This window comes from Homo sapiens, chromosome 22 (genome assembly GCF_000001405.40).
Source record: "Homo sapiens chromosome 22, GRCh38.p14 Primary Assembly".
In the NCBI taxonomy this organism is placed as follows: Eukaryota; Metazoa; Chordata; class Mammalia; order Primates; family Hominidae; genus Homo; species Homo sapiens.
Window position 1 is genome coordinate 33,375,630 of NC_000022.11, and position 20,896 is coordinate 33,396,525.

The 20,896-nt window shown below is 42.8% G+C and overlaps 1 protein-coding gene across 26 annotated transcripts in view; it reads right to left on the reverse strand.

The window, feature by feature from the left end:
* LARGE1 (LARGE xylosyl- and glucuronyltransferase 1) overlaps positions 1 to 20,896 on the reverse strand; it is an 856,162-nt gene that overhangs the window by 308,967 nt on the left and 526,299 nt on the right. For all 26 annotated transcript variants that reach the window (XR_007067993.1, XR_002958722.2, XR_007067994.1 and 23 more), the window contains 2 exons: positions 8,563 to 8,675; positions 6,290 to 6,415 (listed from right to left, as the gene is read on the reverse strand). Coding sequence is in view for 23 of the 26 variants with exons in the window: in XM_024452302.2 (XP_024308070.1) it covers positions 6,290 to 6,415; positions 8,563 to 8,675 (239 nt within the window). In the remaining 3 variants the exon portion in view is untranslated. The remainder of the gene's footprint in view (positions 1 to 6,289; positions 6,416 to 8,562; positions 8,676 to 20,896) is intronic.

The window sequence follows — 20,896 nt, forward strand, 5'->3', positions numbered from 1 at the left end:
TGAATAAAAATTATCAATTCCTGGCAGGTGCAGGAACATTAGGACTGTAAGTATAACCTAAAGTCTGTCTTGGGTTATCTTATTAACCTCAAGAAATTTTTATTTTTATTTATGTTTATTTTTTATTTATTTTTTTGAGACATGGTTTCTCTCTGTCACTCAGGCTGGAGTGCAGTGGCACAATCACAGCTCACTGTAACCTCAGGCTCCTGGGGTGAAGCAGTTCTCCCACCTCAACCTCCCCAGTAGCTAGAACTACAGGCACTTGCCACCAGCTTAGCTTTGAAAGGTTTTTAAATCTGAGATTACTATGTGGTCAAATCACTATTCTTGCAGGCAATATTTGATAAAAACTAAATTTATTTTAGAAACAAATTTGTCTTACTCTATTTTTGGAAAAGCCAATATCACCGTAGGAAGAAAAAGTTATGTTTCTGTTCTTTTTTTTCTTCCAGAAATATTTTAATAAAAATTGGCCATTTCCAAGAAACACTCACTGCATGCCCATCAATAAAAGAGAACCATAACAAAATAGAAAATTTCCCATATGGCTATGATTTAAAGAAAAAAATGCGGACACGAGTTATATTTCTAAAGAAAGCTAGAATACACCTGTTATTAGATGATAGCTGTGTGCACTGTTTTCAAGTTCTTGTTATTTGCCTATAGAGCAAATTGCTATTTGTTATTTGCCTATAGAACTCTTCTAGATTTCTACAATCCTACTTTCTTCTATGCAGTTACCACAAATGGGAATTTCTCTGTTTTGGAAGCCCTATAAGATGAAACTAGATGAATTTTAAGAAATAAGTCTCGTGCCTGATGTCTGGGCCACACAAGGTTCACCAAACTGTCCCATGCCATCACCAGAGACATTCAAACTGCAAACCAGGACGAGAGTTGATTGTTTTCATGCTGTAGACAGCTTTTTTTCAAGATGTCAGAACAAGGCTCTATATCATAATGATATAACAAAGCCTACCTTTTTCACTTGGTAGGATAATGGTCATTTTGTTTATTCAATTGGCTGTCTTTAAAGCCTAGGTTTATTGCTCAAAGTCCTTATGCAAACTGTTCTTGTCACATCACTATTAATTTTACTTTGCATTTTTCTCTTTAATTTTGTATCTGTTACTTGTTCAAATTTTTTACAGATGTACGAATCCTAACAGTATAATGCTAACCCAGCACTTTGAGATGGTAACACATGCCTATGGAACAGACAAAATTGAACTTAATTACAGACTCCAAGTAGACAGACGAGGAGCACCCCACTTAAACTTCCTTATTGCTCAAATGTGGTTAAAAAGGTTTTGACACTGACTCCTAGCTGCCATTCATTCTCTCCAACGTGAAACAAGACCAGAAACCTGGGAGAGGTCCATCCTGGCACTGAGAGACATGAAAACCTAACTAAAGGATGACTGAACAGTGACACTTTTGGGGAAACATCTTGATCAAAAGGGTGAAATATGAATGTTGCCAAAATAAAAATGGAGTCATTTGTGTTAACAAAACCCTGACAAATAGAACCAGGAATGCCATGGAAAGAGGCTTTTCTTCCACAAGTGTCTGATAACAAGAATGATTACAAAAGACTCCGTGAAAACCACAATCTTGCACAAATGCCATCGTAACTTTACACACACAAAATAAAAACTTCTGCAGGCACGTCTGCCCAGCAACTGCCTGTCCAGTCTTGGACTGGTGTCAACTTTGTTACTGATCCTTTGGCCAAAGATAATTATCTCCAAACAATTATAAAATCCTCTTCATTTTTCCTTTAAAAACCTTTATCTTCCTTTACCTCCCTGGGTATGCACATAGTTTGCTATGGCATGTATATTCCCATTGCAATGCACTATTCCAGAATAAATATAATTTTCTTTTAGAGAGGATCTCTTCATTATTAAGGCTGACAATACTTTAGCAGTTTCTTTGCATGTTTGCAGAAAATTCTCTTTGTTATCTTATACTTGAAAGATTATTCTTCTAGGTATACAACCTGTTATTGTTTCTTGGCATACTTAAGATATGCCTCACTTCCAATTTTCTCTATTATCTCCTTCTGATAGTCCAATGAGACATATCCCAATTTCTTTGCTTCTTTCTCAGTTTTTCTATCTCTTTTCATTCTGTGTTGCATCTTGGGTAATTTCTTATACCTCTTCCAGTTCACTAATTCTCTCTTCAGCTGTGTTTAAGCTGCTGTTTAACATATCCATTTAATTTCAATAATCATATCTTTCACTTCTAAAAATACTATTTAATCCAAATACGGCTATTCATTTTTTGAGAATCTACTATTCCTTCATCCTACTTTCAATATTCATTTTTTATTTCTACATGTAATAAAAATACTTATGTTTTATATCTGGTAAGTCCAATATTTGCAGTCTTTCAGATTTAACTCCAGTCTTCAGTTTTTGCACTTTCTCAGGGTAGCTTACTTCCTTGTGTGTTTTGTGATTCCTGAGAACCTTGCTTTCCTTGTAACTTCCCCTAAAAAATTCTGAAGACTTGTTTTTAAGAATATTCTTCTAGATCAGATTTATGTTAGTTTCTGCCAAGTGCCTGGCAAATTTTTAATTTTTTTTCTTTCCATTTTTGCTCCCACACATGTAATTTCAGCCCCCAAAATAATATGGGCATAGGCTTAAAATAAAATCTCAGAGGAAACATTTCTCCCTCATTCTACCTAAAACCAAGGATGAAACAGACAACAACCTCTACTGTCTTCTTCTACACTCTGAGTTTTATTAACTGTTTATCCGCTGAGGATAATACTCTTTGTGGATCCTGACTTTATGTGAGGCCTTTATGTGAGGTCTTTCTTCTTGTGGGCCTAAGGTCCTGTGTATAGTATTTCAACAGAATAATTATATGTTTTGCCTGTTGGCCTATTGTCCCTCTGTATCCCATGATAGCATTCGCTTGTTTGAACAATAAATTATACAGTTACCTATTGAGAAAAACCACTGTTTTTCTATACTCTCACACAGAAGACTTCTGATGCCAGATATTGTGGGGTTATTTTCCTACAATGACCAGTTCTTCAACACTAGCTGGGTCCCTATAATTTAATACAACAGTGACACTACCTCCTTGACAAAAGCATCAGACTCTATGGGTTAGTGGCTTAGTCCCACGAGGCTGCCCACTTCAGATGCCAGTTGCAAATCCCAGTCTCCTGTCCTCTGACAGATTTGCTGTAAATCAAGGATTCCTATGATCCCCTCCTTGGGTTCCATAATTTACTAGAATGGCTCCTGAAACTCTGGGAAACACATTTACTAGCTTATTATCAAGGATGCAACTTGGGAACAGCCAGAGAGAAGAGGTACATAAGGCAAAATATGGGGGTGTGGGGTGAGGGGGTATGGAGCTTCCATGCCTTCTCTGGGCACACCACCCTGCAGCAACAATAGTGTTCACCAACCCAGAAGTTCATCAAATCTTGTTATTCAAGAGCATTTAAAGAGCTTGATTTCTAGCACACCCTCCTGCCTTCCCAGAGGTCCATGGAACTTTCAGTGGGGAAGTTCTTTTTTTTTTTTTTGAGTGTCGTAAAGTCTTTATTTTATGAAAGAAGTCACACAGGCAAAGCTTTATATTTGCTGAGTGATTTCTTTCTTTTTTTTTTTTTTATTATACTTTAAGTTCTAGGGTACATGTGCACAACGTGCAGGTTTGTTACATATGTGTACATGTGCCATGTTGGTGTGCTGCACCCACTAACTTGTCCTTTACATTAGGTATATCTCCTAATGCTATTCCTCCTCTCTCCCCCACCCCATGACAGGCCCCGGTGTGTGATGTTCCCCACCCTGTGTCCAAGTGTTCTCATTGTTCTGCTATAAAGACACATGCACACCTATGTTTACTGCGGCACTATTCACAATAGCAAAGACTTGGAACCAACCCAAATGTCCATCAGTGACAGACTGGATTAAGAAAATGTGGCACATATACACCATGGAACACTATGCAGCCATAAAAAAGGATAAGTTCATGTCCTTTGTAGGGACATGGATGAAGCTGGAAACCATCATTCTGAGCAAACAATTGCAAGGATAGAAAACCAAACACCGCATGTTCTCACTCGTAGGTGGGAATTGATCAGTGGGGAAGTTCTAACCCTCTGATCACTTGGTCTTTCCATCCTGAGGCTCTCTAGGGGCCCTACTCTAAGACACCTCATTAGCATAAACTCAGGTATAACCCAAAGGGGCTCATATACACAATAAAAGCTGTTCTTATCACTCAGGAAATTTCAAGGGTTTTAGGAGCTCTGTTCCAGGAACCAGGGACAAAGACTAAATAGATTTCTTATAATACCAGGCTCACCTTTAAACCAGGCTCCCTGCCACTAGGGATCATCCCTTCCAAGGGCAAAGGTGACATCCAGTTGCTCTTTGCTTATCTTTTTGGATTCACTCTGTCATTGTTTCTGGCCTTTGCTTTCTTTACTTGCTTTATGAACCGATCAATTATGCTTTCAAAGCATGTAAAATATTTTTTAATCCAGCATTTTTACATATTCTTTACACAGTTGGTTTTATTTCGCCCCCTCTCCAAACTTTTTAATCCATGATATTCTTGACAATATTCCTGTCTGTTTCTTCTCTTTTCCTTATTTCTAACAAGCACATGATATACAGAAGGAACTGAATAAATGCCGATGGAAGGAATGAATGTTGCAGGCACCTCTGTTTTAAATCCTTTCTAATATTTTGAAATAAATTTCAAGTGCAGTTAAAAAAAAGTTCTTTCTTTCTAATGCTATAATTTCATTCCTGGAAAGGCAAGCTACAACAATATTGGATGGAAGGGCTTCATGGACAAAGCTGTTAATTAAGATATAATTTATATTTATGAAAATTTGAAAACAACTAAGGTCAAGGGAGTGGCTAGGTAACAGACTAACTATTGGATATGATGTTCATTAACACCATGTGGCTCACCCAGAAAATGCTTATGATATGCAACAAATGAAAAGCAGAAAACCACATTTAACATGCGTTATGACTACAAATAAGACATAATACCCACATGGGGACATGGATCAGAAGCCAAGTACAAAAGACTAATTTATTAGAAAAGCTAGCTTTGCAATCCTTTTTCCTTTTTAAAACTTGCAATGGATATAAACTTTATATGGAACAAATTCTTTAAGGATGCATGTATCTAATCCTCTGTGATACAACCTGAGAGGCAAAAGCCCTTGCTGTCAGACAGGCCTGTGTTGAAATCTTCGTTCTGTTGAATAGTTGTGGTCAATTCTTTACTCCTTCCACTGTAGGGAGGGAATTCTAACACACTCCTTAACTCACACTCCTTACTCAAAGTAATCATACGGGCTTAGTCATACAGTTACTTTGGCCAATGAGGGATATTAGCAACAATGACTCAAGGTTTCCTCTTGTGTATTAGGGCTTCCTCTGCCACCTCTGCCTCACCATGAGAAAACACCATACTGGCTTGCTGAGGGGACAGAGGACATCTAAGTTGCCCCAGTCACCAGCTGTCCCATCTGAAGCTGACCACAAATACTCTGTTAAACCAGTAAAAAAATGAACCATCCAACCAGCCTACAAACTCATCAACTATATAAATGGTTGCTGATTTAGGCCACTATCAGAATAGCTTGTTATGCAGCATTATCTATAGCAGTAGATGACTAATATACCCTGTCTTCTTCCTCTTTCTATAGCCAGGTTCATTCACAGTGTTTGGTACCTACAGAGTGGTGATGAAAGCTTTTTCTGTCATTGTCCGCCCTCTGTGAGGAAGAATGAGACATTTATGCTTGCATCTCCCCGACTGACCCACCCACACCTGTCATAGCACTTTGTCCTTTTTTAAATACTTACTTCTTTGCACATTTCTCTCCTCCTCCAAGTCATACATGACTTGGAAGCAGGTTAATTATTCACATCCACATCTATAGCACCTGGCACAGAGTAGGCCCTCAATAAATGTTTTTGCTTGAGTTGAATGAATAGATTTGGGGAGCTGGCATGAACCAAAAGAGCCAGCAGCAGATGGCAAGAATAATAACCACACAAGCTGGTTCTTACGCCAGGAGGCTTTAGGCTTTCCAGAAAGCCCAAATAAGGGTGGAAAAAAACCAACACCCCACAAAGATGAAAAGCATACTCATTCTGCTCTCCTGTGCCCTTATCTCTCTCACCACATTGCACATAAATCTCCCAGCCATCCATGCCCCTGGGAGGTCCTCTCGGCCCACCTCACCCTACCTCCAGGGATGTCCCTGTGTTGACCCTACCTTTAGATCAGACACGTCTCTGTAGCACTGCTCGGAGCGGGTGTGGTCTGACAGCTGCACATTCCAGAAGCAGGGGAGCTGGTACACAAGGAAGGGGTTTTGTTTGATGACGGCATTGAAAATATCCTGGGGGATGAAAGCCAAAGACACAGTCAAGACAGTCGGATGGTCCAGCTGCCCATTTTGGCTCTCAAGGCACTGCATCCCCTGTGATAGGGCTTCTCTTGAACCTCCTGCTCTGAACACAGGCTGGCTCGCACTGTGAGGCATCTCTCTTGCCTGTTATCTCTAGGAACCAAGCAATAATGTTTGGATAGAGACGGGGGAATGTCCCAGGCTGACTGGAAGCTCCAGAGTCCTGCTGGTCTCATAAGGCCCTATCCAGTGAGCTCACATGTGCAGACATGGGGTGTCTTCCCTACCCTCACTGGCATATGAAAAACGAAGTCTCCTTCCCCTCTGGCCTCCTAGGCAGGAGCCCTGTGTTACCCATCCTGAGCCTCCTGGAGAGGAAACTGCATGATGACAAGTAGCCCCACTCATTCAGGGACTGAGACAAATTACAGATCCTCCCTTTCAGCAGTGCTTCCTGGGGCCTGCGGTGGACTCAGTGATGGATGCTCCTTGGATTTCTGCAGCCCATGGTGCCCAGGATACGCACTCCCCGTTTCAAAATCCAACCCTGACTTGTCTAGGGAGGTTTTACCTTTTTTGGGCTCTTCTCCAAGCTGTTGCACCAGGCCATACTTATTAACTAGCTGCTGACAGGTGGCGCCGGGAGGTGAATTATGGGCCTTCGTGGCAGAAGATGGCTGAATAAACTATCCTTACTGGACATGGGCATACAATTGCTAGCTTTGGGGGACATGCTCAAGTCACTGTGACCCGACTTGAAATATGAGGCTGGTGGACGATTTTCCCCTCAGGTTTAAAACAGCTACCTGGGTATTATTTTTTTTCTTAAACTCATTCATTATACTCTATCTCATGTTTGAAAAAGGAAATCAGTTTCTGGCTGCTTGGGAAATACTGAATAATAATACTTTAAAAAATAGTAAAGTAATCATGCAGGGTTTCTTGTTTCCTCCGTATTATGAAACTTTGCAGGCATTCGACGAACCAGGAAATTGCACTTTGAACAAAAACATGCAGAGTGAGCTGGCTCTTTGGATGAAAAGGAAAGGGTGAAATGCAGAAAACTCAGAGAAATCATCTTCGTGCCTGAAGACAGCTACCAGTGCCACAGGAAGATGAAAATTTAAATGAGTGATCCTGGTAGACTCAAAGTCAGACTGGAGCCCTCTGCCTTTCCTAGGACGTCAAAATGAGGAATAGGTTTTTAAAAAATGACTATTTGTTGGCTGGGTGCAGAGACTCATGCCTGTAATCCCAGCACTTTGGGAGGCTGAGGCAGGCGGATCATCTGAGGTCAGGAGTTCAAAACCAGCCTGGCCAACGTGGAGAAACCCCATCTCTACTAAAAATACAAAAATTAGCCTGGTGTGGTGCTGCACGCCTGTAATCCTAGCGACTTGGGAGGCTGAGGCAGGAGAATTGCTTGAACCCAGGAGGCGGAGGTTGCCGTGAGCCGAGACTGTACCACTGCATTCCAGCCTGGGTGACAGAGCGAGACTCCACCTCAAAAATAAAATAAAATAATAAAAATGAATATTTGCTAACAGTTTGGTAGAGTTCAAGGAGTTTCTGAGGCTGCCTGCATAGCAAGGTGGTTTTCTTGCAGTTTATTCTTTCTATTTAAGTGCATTTCCCTTGAGTAAAGGGACACTAGGACAGCATCTAAGCAAAAGGCTCAGATTAAAGGTTAGACTCTATTTGCCAGGGAGGCCAGTGAAACCTTGCCTGGGAAATATGCTGTGGCATTCTGGGGTCCCAGAGAGCAGGCCCTGTGCACTCCACCTGGTGATGAAGAGGGCACCGACATCTACTTATGAGTCTGCGTCAGTAGACGCTAAGCTCTATGAGGGCAAGTGCTGCATCCTTCGTCTATCTCTGTCATCCTTTTTCTGAACTTGGCTCCTGGTATACACAGTACTCAGTGAAAGTCTGCCGAATGAACAAATGAATGAACAAAGGGAAGGCACTAAGGAGTTGAGCTGTTGTCTTAGACTGGCAAGAATAAGGCAGCTGTATCAGAGCACACAGAGTCACACAATACGTAGAAAACCATTCAGATCGATTTAATTTTAAGTTTCTTTGAGAAACAGCACCAAGCACACTCAGGAATAGCTGCACCTTCGAACCTGGCCACTCACCTGGTCAGCTAAGGATGTAGAGAGCATGCCCATGAGCTCCCTCTCTGCGGTCAGCCTCCACATCTGCTCCCATTTCATCTTCCGCAGCTTATCCAGAAGTAACAGGATCACCCCTGGGCAACAGCACAGGATAAAAGAGAAAATTAAAAAATAAAAAAGATGGAGAGCTAGGCACACCTACTCACATCACAGCCACAGTCTCTCGGGGATGATTGTCTTATGCAGACAAGAGGCCTATGCACTGCTGCAGATGAGTCTTCCCTCTAAAAATTCTTCCAATGAGGCTCCACAGTATGGGGCACCTGTTTTGGAGACGAATACACCTGGGTTCAAGCCTAGGACCTGCCAGTTACTCGATAGGAGACATGAAACCATCTCTCTGAGACCTCCTTGTTGTATGGAGACTGGTCATACAGGCCTCAAAGGACTGTTGGAAGGAGTAAGTGATGAGGGCAGGGAGAGCCTAGCATTGTATGGAGATGGACAGTGGTGGTGGCCGCACAACAATGTGAATGGACTTCATGCCGCTCAACTGTACGTTTAAACATGGTTAACACGGTAAATTTATGTTATGTATATCTCACCACAATAATGAAAAAAAAGATTCTAGCTCTGCACTGGATACAGAGCACATTCCTTATAGACATTAGGTTCTCTCCTGTGTTTTTCCCCAGAGATATGACCACCTACCTAGGTTGAGCTGATAGGTGGAATTTGTACGATGTATACCATTTATCCGTACACACAAAAGCAGCTCCTCTGTGACTTTATTCTGGGTATGGCTTTGCCAATTTGCTTGATGATTACTGACAAGCCATATGGGCCTGTCTCAGTCTTCCTGATTTCAAGAGGGTCTTTTTGGCCCATCCACGCTGGGTCTTTAAGGTGAGCTCCAGAAGCCTGTGAGCTCATAAGAAACTAATAATAAGAGGTGGTTCCTCTTCCTTGGTATCTTTTCTTGGTTACTTTCTGCGGAAGGGACCTGGGTGAATGGAGGGTTGTTTAGGGAGGGAAACTCCCCTTGTCTATATCCTTTTGTGTTTTTTAAAACGCTAAAACAACAGCCGGGTGTGGTGGTGGTTCATGCCTGTAAACCCAGCACTTTGGGAGGGGAGGTGGGTGGATCACCTGAGGTCAGATTAGCCTGGCCAACATGGTGAAACCCCATCTCTACTAAAAATGCAAAATTAGCTGGGTGTGGTGGTGCATGCCTGTGATCCCAGTTACTTGGGAGGCTGAGGCAGGAGAATCACTCGAACCTGGGAGGTGGAGGTTGCAGTGAGCTGAGATCGTGCCACGGCACTCCAGCCTGGACGACAGCGCAGGACACCGTCTCAAAAAAAAAAAAAAAAAAAAAAAAAAAGCTAAAACAACTAAACATATTATTCAGGCAAAAAATAAATACATCAGTTAAAATCTAAAAAAGAAAAATACACTTAGGCTTAGCTGAATGGCTGAGAAGCAACTATCTACCATCAGGTCAGTTAGAGCAAGCAGAAAAAGCCCTGAGCACGGAACACAAAAAGCCGAGAGAATTTCCCTGCAGGCCACTGCAGTCAATTTGGTGGGTGGAACTGTAGCACCCAGAGGCCCCCAAATCAATCCTCTTCAGGATGCTTAGCTCAGCAGAATGGTCAGTGGGGAAGACTCAAGGCAGTTGAAAAATGATCTTAGTTGAAACCTAGCACCTGCATTTCCAAGACTCTAGGAAAGAAACTGATTTCCCCAAATCACATACAAATGTCAACTCTAAGCCTCTTTACTTATTCCAGTGGCACATATTTGGAGAAAAGATATATTCACCATTTAGTGAAAGGTGTTTGGCCAGGTGGAGTTGGAAAAAAAATAGTATCTATATGGCTATGGGAAGATTGGGTTAATACACAGAGATCTGAACTTGTAAGTCTGAAGGACAAATTAGATCTGCTGCATAGGTCCTTTGTGCTTTGTTAGGGTTTTTGCACATCACGTATCATTTCCCCTAATGCTCCCTGAGATCTCTACAAGATAGATTTTGTTATCCTTATTTTATAGGTGAGGAAACTGAGGGGCTAAATCGGACACTTGTCAATTCACTGTTCAAAAGTAGCTATGTCAGATTCAAACTCAGATCTGCGTGATTCCAAGGCCAGTGCTTCTTCCACTCAACCACATAGACTAGAGCCCCAGCAATGTCACTTTGGAGCCATGGGACTCAGGTCAAGATCTGTCTTTTGTTGACTCTCAGTTTCTATGAGTGTTAAATGAGAAAAATGCTACTTGCCCTGCACAGCTCAGAAAACTGTTGCGCACTCTTGTGGTAGGCTGGTAATGTTTAACCATCAGCTCTCTGGGGGAAAAAAACGGCCGGATTTGTAGCATTTGCCAATTGCCAAGGTGTAAACACTCCCATCATGGCTAATTTCAAGCTAGCAATATCATATCACTGAATATGGAGTTGGGGAGGAAGGTACACAGTGGAAATTGTTCGCCATAAATGTATTATCTGATTGTTTTACTCAGATAAACAATGTTGGGGGGGGTAGAAAGAAAAGAAACATTTACAAAGTTACAAACCAAGAGAATATAGTGATGTAAGTCACTGGTGACTGATTTAAGAAAATATATTCCAGTCAAAAATATGAATGAAGCCGGGCATGGTGGCTCACACCTGTGACCCCAGCACTTTGGGAGGCCAAGGTGGGTGGATCACTTGAGGTCAGGAGTTCAAGACCAGCCTGGCCAACATGGTGAAACCCCGTCTCTACTAAAAATACAAAAAAATTAGCTAGGCATTGTGGTGTGTGCTTGTAATCCCAGCTACTCAGGAGGCTGAGGCAGGAGAAGTGCTTGAATCCAGGAGGCGGAGGTTGCAGTGAGCCGAGATTGTGCCACTGTACTCCAGCCTAGGTAACTGAGCAAGACTCCATCTCAAAAAACAAAAAACAAAAAACAAAAAACAAAAAAAGGGCGGGCAGGTGTGGTGGCTCATGCCTGTAATCTCAGCACTTTGGGAGGCCAAGGTGCACAGATCATCTGAAGTCAGGAGTCCAAGACCAGCCCCGCCAACATGGCGAAACCCCACCTCTACTAAAAATACAAAAAAACTAGCCGGGTGTGGTGGTGCACGCCTGTAGTCCCAGCTACTCCTGAGGCTGAGGCACAAGAATAGCTTGAACCCAGGAGACGGAGGATGCGGTGAGCTGAGATTGCACCACTGTCCTCCAGTGGGGGTAACAGAGTGAGACTCTGTCTCAAAAAAAAAAAAAAAAAAAAGAAAGAAAGAATTTCATTAATCTTATTACAAAAATGAATTATAATTAGGTTGGATAGATGCTCCAATGTATTAAAAAATGGGGGGGGGGATGGTGGGAAACTAGAAACAATGATGAAATATATTAATGCACATTTTTGAAGCCTCTAGAGAGGTCCAGGATAAACCTATGAGTCTCTGGTGACCAAGCTGAGAACTGATGCTTTTAAATGGTGTGAGACTTGGCAGATGTGATTTGCCAGGTTGCCTGAAAAGTCGGAATGTCTAAAACAGATGACTAAATGCAGAGATGCAGGATCATCCTCCCTGTTAGCCAGTCTTTTCTTTTGCGTGACTTTAATTTTTAAAATTATGAACTATTTCAAAACAATAGAAAAGCACACAAACTAATATAATGAATACCCACCACCTAGATATAATGGTTGTTATAATACCTTGCCACATTTACTGTTAAAAAATTAAAGCATTACAGATAAATCTAAAGTTCATCTCATTCTACCTCCTCTCTTCCTCAAAGGCAGCCAGTATTCCCAGGGGTCTGTGTTTTATTCCTAGGCTTGTTTTTATATTTTTATCCTCTATGCACATAATAACACATGGTATTTTTAGTGTGTTTTGGATTGCGTATTTCCTATTCTAACTTGCCTTTTCACCCACTGTTATGTCTTTAAGATTTAACTATGTTAGTATTTCCTATCTAGTTTAGTCACTGTAATCACATCATCCATTTTATACCTATACCATAATTTATTTATCCATTCCTCTCCTGAAGGACATTTTGGTTGTTTACTATGTTTTTGCCATTATGAACAATGCTGCAATAAATATCCTAATCTTGATTCATGTCTCGAGAGCTTAGCTAGGGTGCAGCTTCCAAAGTTGGACCGGGATTGCCGTGTTGAAGGCGCTCCTTGTCTTGAAACATCTTCAACTACTCCATCTTCCATTTCTCTTACAGTCAGCCATTACTGAGTCCACAGATTCTAAATTTAAAACACCTTTTACATTTCTTTTATTCATTCATTCAACAGTTATTTACTGAGTAGCTACTATGTGTGAATTCACAGAAATAGACTTGTACTTATTTTGCTTCACTACTTTCACCAATCTCATGGGCTTTTTAAATTTTTTTATTTTTTTAGACAGAGTCTTGCTCTGCTGCCCAGGCTGGAGTGCAATGGCACGATCTCGGCTCACTGTAACCTCTGCCTCCCAGGTTCAAGCAATTCTCCTGCCTCAGCATCCCAAGTAACTGGAACTACAGGCACACACCACCACGCCTGGCTGATTTTTTGTATTTTTAATAGAGATGGGGTTTCGCCATGTTGGCCAGGCTGGTCTCAAACTCCTGACCTCAGGTGATCCACCCACCTCAGCCTCCCAAAATGCTGGGATTTTACAGGTGTGAGCCACCACGCCTGGCCAATCTCATGGGCTTTATTCAACATATTAACTCAGCATATATTTACTGGAGGTGTAACATTCATTCTTTGCCAGGCCCTTTTGTGGAAACACACATAAGACACGTACATCATTAGGATTCAATGTGATGACTGCAAACACTGAGATCATGCAGTGCTTATGAAGAGAGCTCACAGGAGGGAGGCCTGGGTGGCCTGGGCTAGGACTTGGTCAGGCAGTTGGGGAAGCTGTCTGAGGAAACACCATGGACAAAGGCACAGAGGCAGGAGATGCATGACAAGACTGGGCTACGCAAGAACTAGAGTGTATCATGGCCAGACAGTTTCAATAGCAGGCTTAGGCAAATGCCAGGACAGACGCCTGAACACACGCACAGGCAATAAATCAGGAAGAGCCTCGTATCTATGCAACACAGGTGCGTTCCAACCATGTTTATGCCGTTTCCTACAGAGAAAATGCTATTCTTAAAACCCACTGGGAGTTAAGCTGCTTATGGCTGGAAAGGCTGATCCAAGGGTTTCAGAGGCCCCAGGCCCTACCAAAGTATCCCCAAGGCCCAGGAGATGATTTTGTTGGCACTTGTCACCCATGTGTGACACAGTGGTTGGGAAGTCCTACTGAGGACAACTGAAAGCCAGACAAGGATGTAGAGCAAGAGAGTGACTACAACAGAATCTGTTTTAGAAAAGCCAAACTAGCTGGGTGCGGTGGCTCATGCCTGTAATCCCAGCACTTTGGGAGGCTGAGGCTGGCGGATCACCTGAGGTCAGGAGTTTGAGACCAGCCTGGCCAACATGGAGAAACCCTGTCTCTACTAAAAATACCAAAATGAGCCGGGCATGGTGGTGTGTGCCTATAGTCCCAGTTACTTGGGAGGCTGAGGCAGGAGAATCACTTGAACCTGGGAAGCACAGGTTGCAGTGAGCCGCGACTGCATCACTGTACTCCAGCCAGGGTGACAGAATGAGACTCAGTCTCAAAAACCAACCAACCAACCAACCAACCAACCAACCAACCAACCAACCAAACAAAAAAAACCAAGCTAAAATGTTGCTGTCATTTATCCTGCCATTTCACAAGATCAAAGGCCTCCAGTATTTCAGGGTGGTCTTCAGAACAAGCTATAACCCCTTGGTTGTGGCCAGACCATCTGGTTCTCGCCATAATTTAATTTTCTTTTCTTTCATCAGACCACTTCATCCAGGAAAACTGGCACTCTGCCATAAAACAACCGCAACCTCTGCCTCTGTGAATTTGATGAGCTGATTCTCAGGCTGCTTTTCTCTTTGGAATTCCAGAACGTTTACTAAATATACCACTCTCTGTACCCCGATTCAACCAAGAATCAGAATCCAAAGCAGACAAAAACATTCATGAGCAAACATGTCACAAAGCTTATGAATTTCACTCTCAGCTTCCTGAGCCTCCTCTAATCTCACAACATTCTTAGAAAGGGGGGCTGGTTAGACCTTACTGCTAAGTTTGCATCGATGTGGGAACCGAGGTGCTGAGGATGGAGGTGATGTTTCCGATGTCACAGTGCTGGCAACTGCTTCTTACTGCCCTGTTTATCTTAGAACATTAGAACTAATAAAGACCCTGTGCTTCCTGTGCCAGCAGAACCCATGGGTGGCTCTTCTTTGTACCTAGACATTTTTAAAGACCATGCTTCCTCTTAAACATGAATGTCACACGTGTGCTCGGCTGACACAGGCTCATGTGGGCTTCTGGGAATCAGGGCTCCCAGACACCACAGCTGGGCCATAGGCAAGCTGCTCTTGGCATGCCAAACCAGAGGGGACTCTGTCTGCTTTTGTTGTGTGTTTTTTTTTTTTTTTTTTGAGACAGAGTCTTACTCTGCTGCCCAGGCTGGAGTGCAGTGAGTGGCACGATCTCAGCTCACTGCACCCTCCGCCTCCCAGGTTTAAGCCATTCTTGTGCCTCAGCCTCCTGAGTAAGTAGGACCACAGGTGTGCGCCACCAGGCCTGGCTAATGTTTTTTGTATTTTTAAGAGAGAAGGGGTTTCACCATGTTAGCCAGGCTGGTCTCGAATTCCTGAACTCAAGTGATCCGCCCACCTTGGCCTCCCAAAGTGCTGGGAACACAGGTGTAAACCACCACACCCAGCTAATTTTTTGTATTTTTAGTAGAGACAGGGTTACACTATGTTGGCCAGGCTGCTCTCGAACTCCTGACCTCATGATCCACCCGCCTCGGCCTCCCCAAGTGTTGCAATTACAGGTGTGAGCCACCGTGCCCAGCCTACCACAGGTTATTCCTATAACCAATATCCTCACATCCTCATAGGTCCTGCATTCAGAAGTCATTTCGTCTATGATTCATTTCAAAATTTTTTTATTTGAGCACCTGCTTTGGTTCTATTCATTAGTTAACTGGGGACTTGGAAGTTTTTAAAACACAGTCCTTGTTCTCAGGGAGCAAGGCCTGATAGGGAAGGGAAACAGGTAATCACAAAAATGCAAAGCACTGTGATAAATGGGAGGTGGGGAAGAACTATGGGAGCTGGGGTACAGGTAAACTGACTGTGTCTCAGGGGAAGCATTAGGGGAAGGGCATCTTGAAATGAATGATGTCTACACTGAAACTTAAGGATAAAAAAGGTTATATAAGTGAGAGACAGGAAGAACAAAGGTCAAACCAGACAGGCTTCTCTCTCTAGGACAGTGATTTCAAAGGAATGGGTTGCTGAATATCTAGCAGGTAGCAAATACTGTCCACCACATCTGAACTGCAGACCTCAAAAGGTAATGACCCATGTCCCCCTCTTCTCCCAAAAAAGAAAATTTTAGAAAGGCTGCATAAAGTTGTCTAGCATGGGTGAAAACATTTGTCTTTGCTCATAAATCTATAATTATCCACAGGTTATTTCCTTTTTCCTTTTTTTTTTTTTTTTTTTTTTGAGACGGAGTCTTGCACTGTCGCTCAGGCAGGAGTGCAATGGCGTGATCTCGGCTCACTGCAACCTCTGCCTCCCGGGTTCTAGCGATTCTCCTGCCTCAGCCTCCCGAGTAGCTGGGATTATAGGTGCCCACCACCACACCCAGCTAATTTTTTGTATTTTTAGTAGAGACAGGGTTACACTATGTTGGCCAGGCTGCTCTCGAACTCCTGACCTCATGATCCACCTGCCTCGGCCTCCCCAAGTGTTGCAATTACAGGTGTGAGCCACCGTGCCCAGCCTACCACAGGTTATTCCTATAACCAATATCCTCACATCCTCAGAGTGACACAGCAGAATGAATTCTGGGAACACACGCTTCTTCTTTTTTTTTTTTTTTGTAGCTATCCCAGAAGGGGAAGGAAAAAGAAAAAACTGCAGTGGACTTGGAAAACACACTCTTGGCTCTGAGTCCTGATATCACTGCTTAATATCAATATGATTCTTGAAAAAAGTCACTGTGTTTCTAAGCCTCAGATCCTTATTTGTAATATAGTGACAATCCCACATTAACTCCAAGGTGATTGTGAGGAACAAAAAAGAAAATGGGGGCCAGGTGCGGTGGCTCACGCCTGTGATCCCAGCACTTTGAGAGGCAGAGGAGGGTGGATCACCTGAGGTCAGGAGTTCGAGACCAGCCTGGTCAATACGGCAAAACCCTGTCTCTACTAAAAATACAAAAATTAGCCAGATGTGGTGGTGGGTGCCTGTAATCACAGTTACTTAGGAGGCTGAGGCAGAAGAATTGCTTGAACCTGGGAGGCGGATGTTGTGGTGAGCCAAGATGGCCCCACTGTACTCCCGCCTGGGCAACACAGCGAGACTCTGTCTTAAAAACAACAACAACAACAACAAAAGCAAGAAAAATGGCATCTTTAAAGTGGATGCCACTTTAAAGATTTAAATGGCATCTGGTACAGTGGAAGAGTATCCACCAGTGCTGTAGTGGGAATTATTAATGGATAATTAATGTCCAAACCTAGTAAATCATTTTTCTTTGTAATCCACTGATTATTCAAATAATCTTCAAAATTCCCGTGAGTGTGAAATGTACTGGACAACTTGAAATATTTGCAATATTTGCAAACATTTCCAGGCCCATAGCCTTCTCAGTGTTCTGAAAATAGGTGGCTTATAGTGTCACAGCCTGCATGCTTAGGAGATCTCTTGAGGTTATTCCAAGTGGCAGCTAAGAGATACATCCACAGGAAGAAAACAAATAATAATAAAGGAAAGAAAATCCACTGTATGGAAAATTATGAGCTTAAATTATATTCTTAAGCAGCTAATGAGTCTGTTTAGGATGTTAAATATAATCATCATATTGATATGAGCTTATAAGACAATCTGCCAGTTTCTTCAAAGGTTAGGAGTTTGCACTCAGGTCATAAAAGACTTGAGAAACAACATTTCCAAGAGAAACAGAACTCTGTTTATTGACCTTGCTCCTATGGGGCTGCGGAAATATCCTAATTAATGGCTGTGCAGTGCTTTCAAAATATGAAGTAGTACATAAAAGCTTAATAAATGACAGTTACAGAAACTATACATTTCCTCATTAAGGTGTCTAATTATCCCTCACTGAACTTGCCTAATTCCCACTGGATTTAATATAAATTATGTGCATGTGTGCAAAGTAGAAAGAGGATTTTTAAGTGACTACTGCTTCAAGTTATGAAAATGGTTCCATTTGAAACTGGAGCCTTTTAAGCTGAAACAACACGGATTTGGCTTTGGAATGCGTGCCCCAAATCAGACTTTTGACCCTGCTTTTCTGCTGTCAGGTGGAAGGTGGTGCCAAAAAGCTTGACTTTGGCCTTTGCCTGGCATTCGCTGCTGCCTGATCCACCCATTCCCATCCTTGTCGTCGGGGTCTGGGAGCTTGGAGCAAGCCCCTTGCCCCTGAGTGCTCTGCACAGAGGCAACATGCCTTAAATTTGACAAGGACTGTCAAGGGAGCTGGCTGGGATGCATGTGACCCGCAGCACTTTACCTACAGCTGTTGTGCTGGGAGCACAGAGACCAACGCTAAATAAATAAATGAATAAATAAATTAAAAATCAAAGGATTCTCTCATGAACATCTGGTCAAGTAGCAGGGCTTTTCATCTGTGGATCAGAGGGCCATGTTTTCTTTTTAGCAACAGCTCAGTAATCAAGATGGCAGGGAAAGAAAAGTAGGTATCTGTGCAGAGAGGAAAGTGAGAATAATGCTATTTTATGAGCTAGACATTATTTTTTGCCAGTGCAACTGCCAAAAAAAAAAAAAAAAAGAGAAGCTAAACAGGGTGACAATGATGATAATACCTACTATTTATCAAGCAACTGCAGTATACTAGAGAGAAGGAACTTAACTTAGATGACCTCTGATTCTTTTTTTTTTTTTTTTTTGAGACAGAGTCTCGCTCTGTCACCCAGGCTGTAGTGCAGTGGCACAATCTCGGCTCACTGCAACCTCTGCCTCCCAGGTTCAAGTGATTCTTCTGCCTCAGCCTCCTGAGTAGCTGGCACTACAGGCGTGTGCCACCACACCCAGCTAATTTTTTGTATTTTTAGTAGAGACGGGGTTTCACCATGTTGGCCAGGCTGGTCTCGAACTCCTGACCTCGTAATCCGCATGCCTCGGCCTCCCGAAGTCCTGGGATTACAGGTGTGACCCACTGCACCCAGCCAGATGACCTCTGATTCTTATGACAAACTTGCAAAGTAGATGGAATTATCTCTATTTTACAGATGAAGAAACTAAGGTAGACAGAATTACCTCCATTTTACAGATGAAGAAACTAAAGCTTCCATATAACTAACGTGTGGTAAAATTAATTTCACTCTTTGATTTGTGGTCTCAACCATACCATGTGGTCTCAACCTCCTGGGAGCGTGTGTGTGTGTGTGTGTGTGTGTGTGTGTGTGTGTGTGTGTATGTGTGTGTGTATCTACATGCTCATAACTAAATACGGTGAGGCTTTGCTGAATCAGGGGTCTAAAGCCAAAACAAAAGAGTAGCTCCTGGAGGAGCAGTAAGTAAATGTTTGAAGGACTTTGAGAAGACCACAGGCCATAAGCAGACTGCCTCTGTGAAAACCTGGGAAGATCCCAATCATTATAAAAGGCCGGGAAAGGGCTGGGCATGGTGGCTCACACCTGTAATCCCAGCACTTTGGGAGGCCAAGGCTGGCAGATCACGAGGTCAGGAGATTGAGACCATCCTGGCTAACACACGGTGAAACCCCGTCTCTACTAAAAATACAAAAAAATTAGCCGGGCGTGGTGGCGGGCCCCTGTAGTCCCAGCTATTTGGGAGGCTGAGGCAGGAGAATGGTGTGAACCCCGGAGGCGGAGCTTGCAGTGAGCCGAGATCGCGCCGCTGCACTCCAGCCTGGGTGACGCAGCGACTCTGCCTCAAAAAAAAAAAAAAAAAAAAAGCCAGGAAAACTAGGGCTTCCCTGAGGACAGTCCTGTATGAAAAGGAAGCTGTAGGCCTAGGGTAGGGCCTGATCCAAGATTAGTGATAGTGGGTAACCGGATGGAGCCAATAAATATTCAACTCAGGACACTGTGTCAGCGCTAACTTATGTCAACTTTCCCTCCTGCATGGTAGGAACATTCCCTTCTTTCTGCATCTGAAACCATCCAAGTAACTTCATAGCATGTAGAGGACTACTTGCAGGCAAGAACTCTTTAAAACTTTTTTAGCAAAGGGGAATGCCTTAAGCTTGCATTATGAAAACTGTTTAAGAGAAGGTTCTGCCACTATTCCCTCCCTGCCCTATTTTCATTCTTTAGGCTAGCTACAAGAATGTAGCTAGAATTGGGTTGGTCAATTCAGACCACATACCTCCTTGGCTCAGGAGGAGAAAGTAGGGACCAAAGTGCCTGGATGACTCCTTTGAATGAGGTTCAGAGGAAGTTTCAGATGAAACCTTTTATTCCTAAACTCAGTACTTCTCACAGTGTATGATGTAGCATTCTGTAGGATGCTAGTAAATGTTGTGGAAGCAGGGCTAAATAAGTTAAATAAGTGTAGGAGATGATTGATTAGGGTTAAATAAAGTTAAATAGGTTTTGATATATCAGTGTGCACAGTGAATCTCAAAGGTGGTTACGGCTTCCAACACTGTCAGAACGATTTGCCCCTTTTCCCCCAGGACTCTAATAGGATATTGCTTGTCCCTTCAGTTTGAGTCCTCACTGGCTTTGGTCTGCACTTCCTCAGCTCTCCACCTCTAATGCAGGATCCACTACGTGAAAATGAAGATTTGCTCCTTAGTCCTTCAGTGGTTTTTGAGGCTTTGCTGGTTTGAACCAGTGAAATCCTATGGACACAGCGCAGCTGCTCAGCAGGAGGCTCTGGGGAGCGTGCAGACTCTCATCTCAGAAATGCTGATAAAAATCACCCTCAGAATCGCAACCTTCCTCCCTTCTGCTTTGAAGCACTAGAGTTCTCTTCTTATTCATAATCCAACAGAAAGTAAGTTTATTAAAAACCACTTAATTTAAAATCCCCTGCTGATTTTACCTGGGACTCACTTTTGATCATATAAATGAAAAGGTTCTGTAATCCAGCTTTTGCTTTTTAAATTATTTCTTCCTGAAAGCTTTTTGAGAGAGAAAGACAGAGTGAGAGACAGAGAGAGTGACAGAGAGAGAGAGAGAGAGAGAGAGAGAGAGAGAGATAGGGAAGGAGGGAGGGGTGGGAGAGA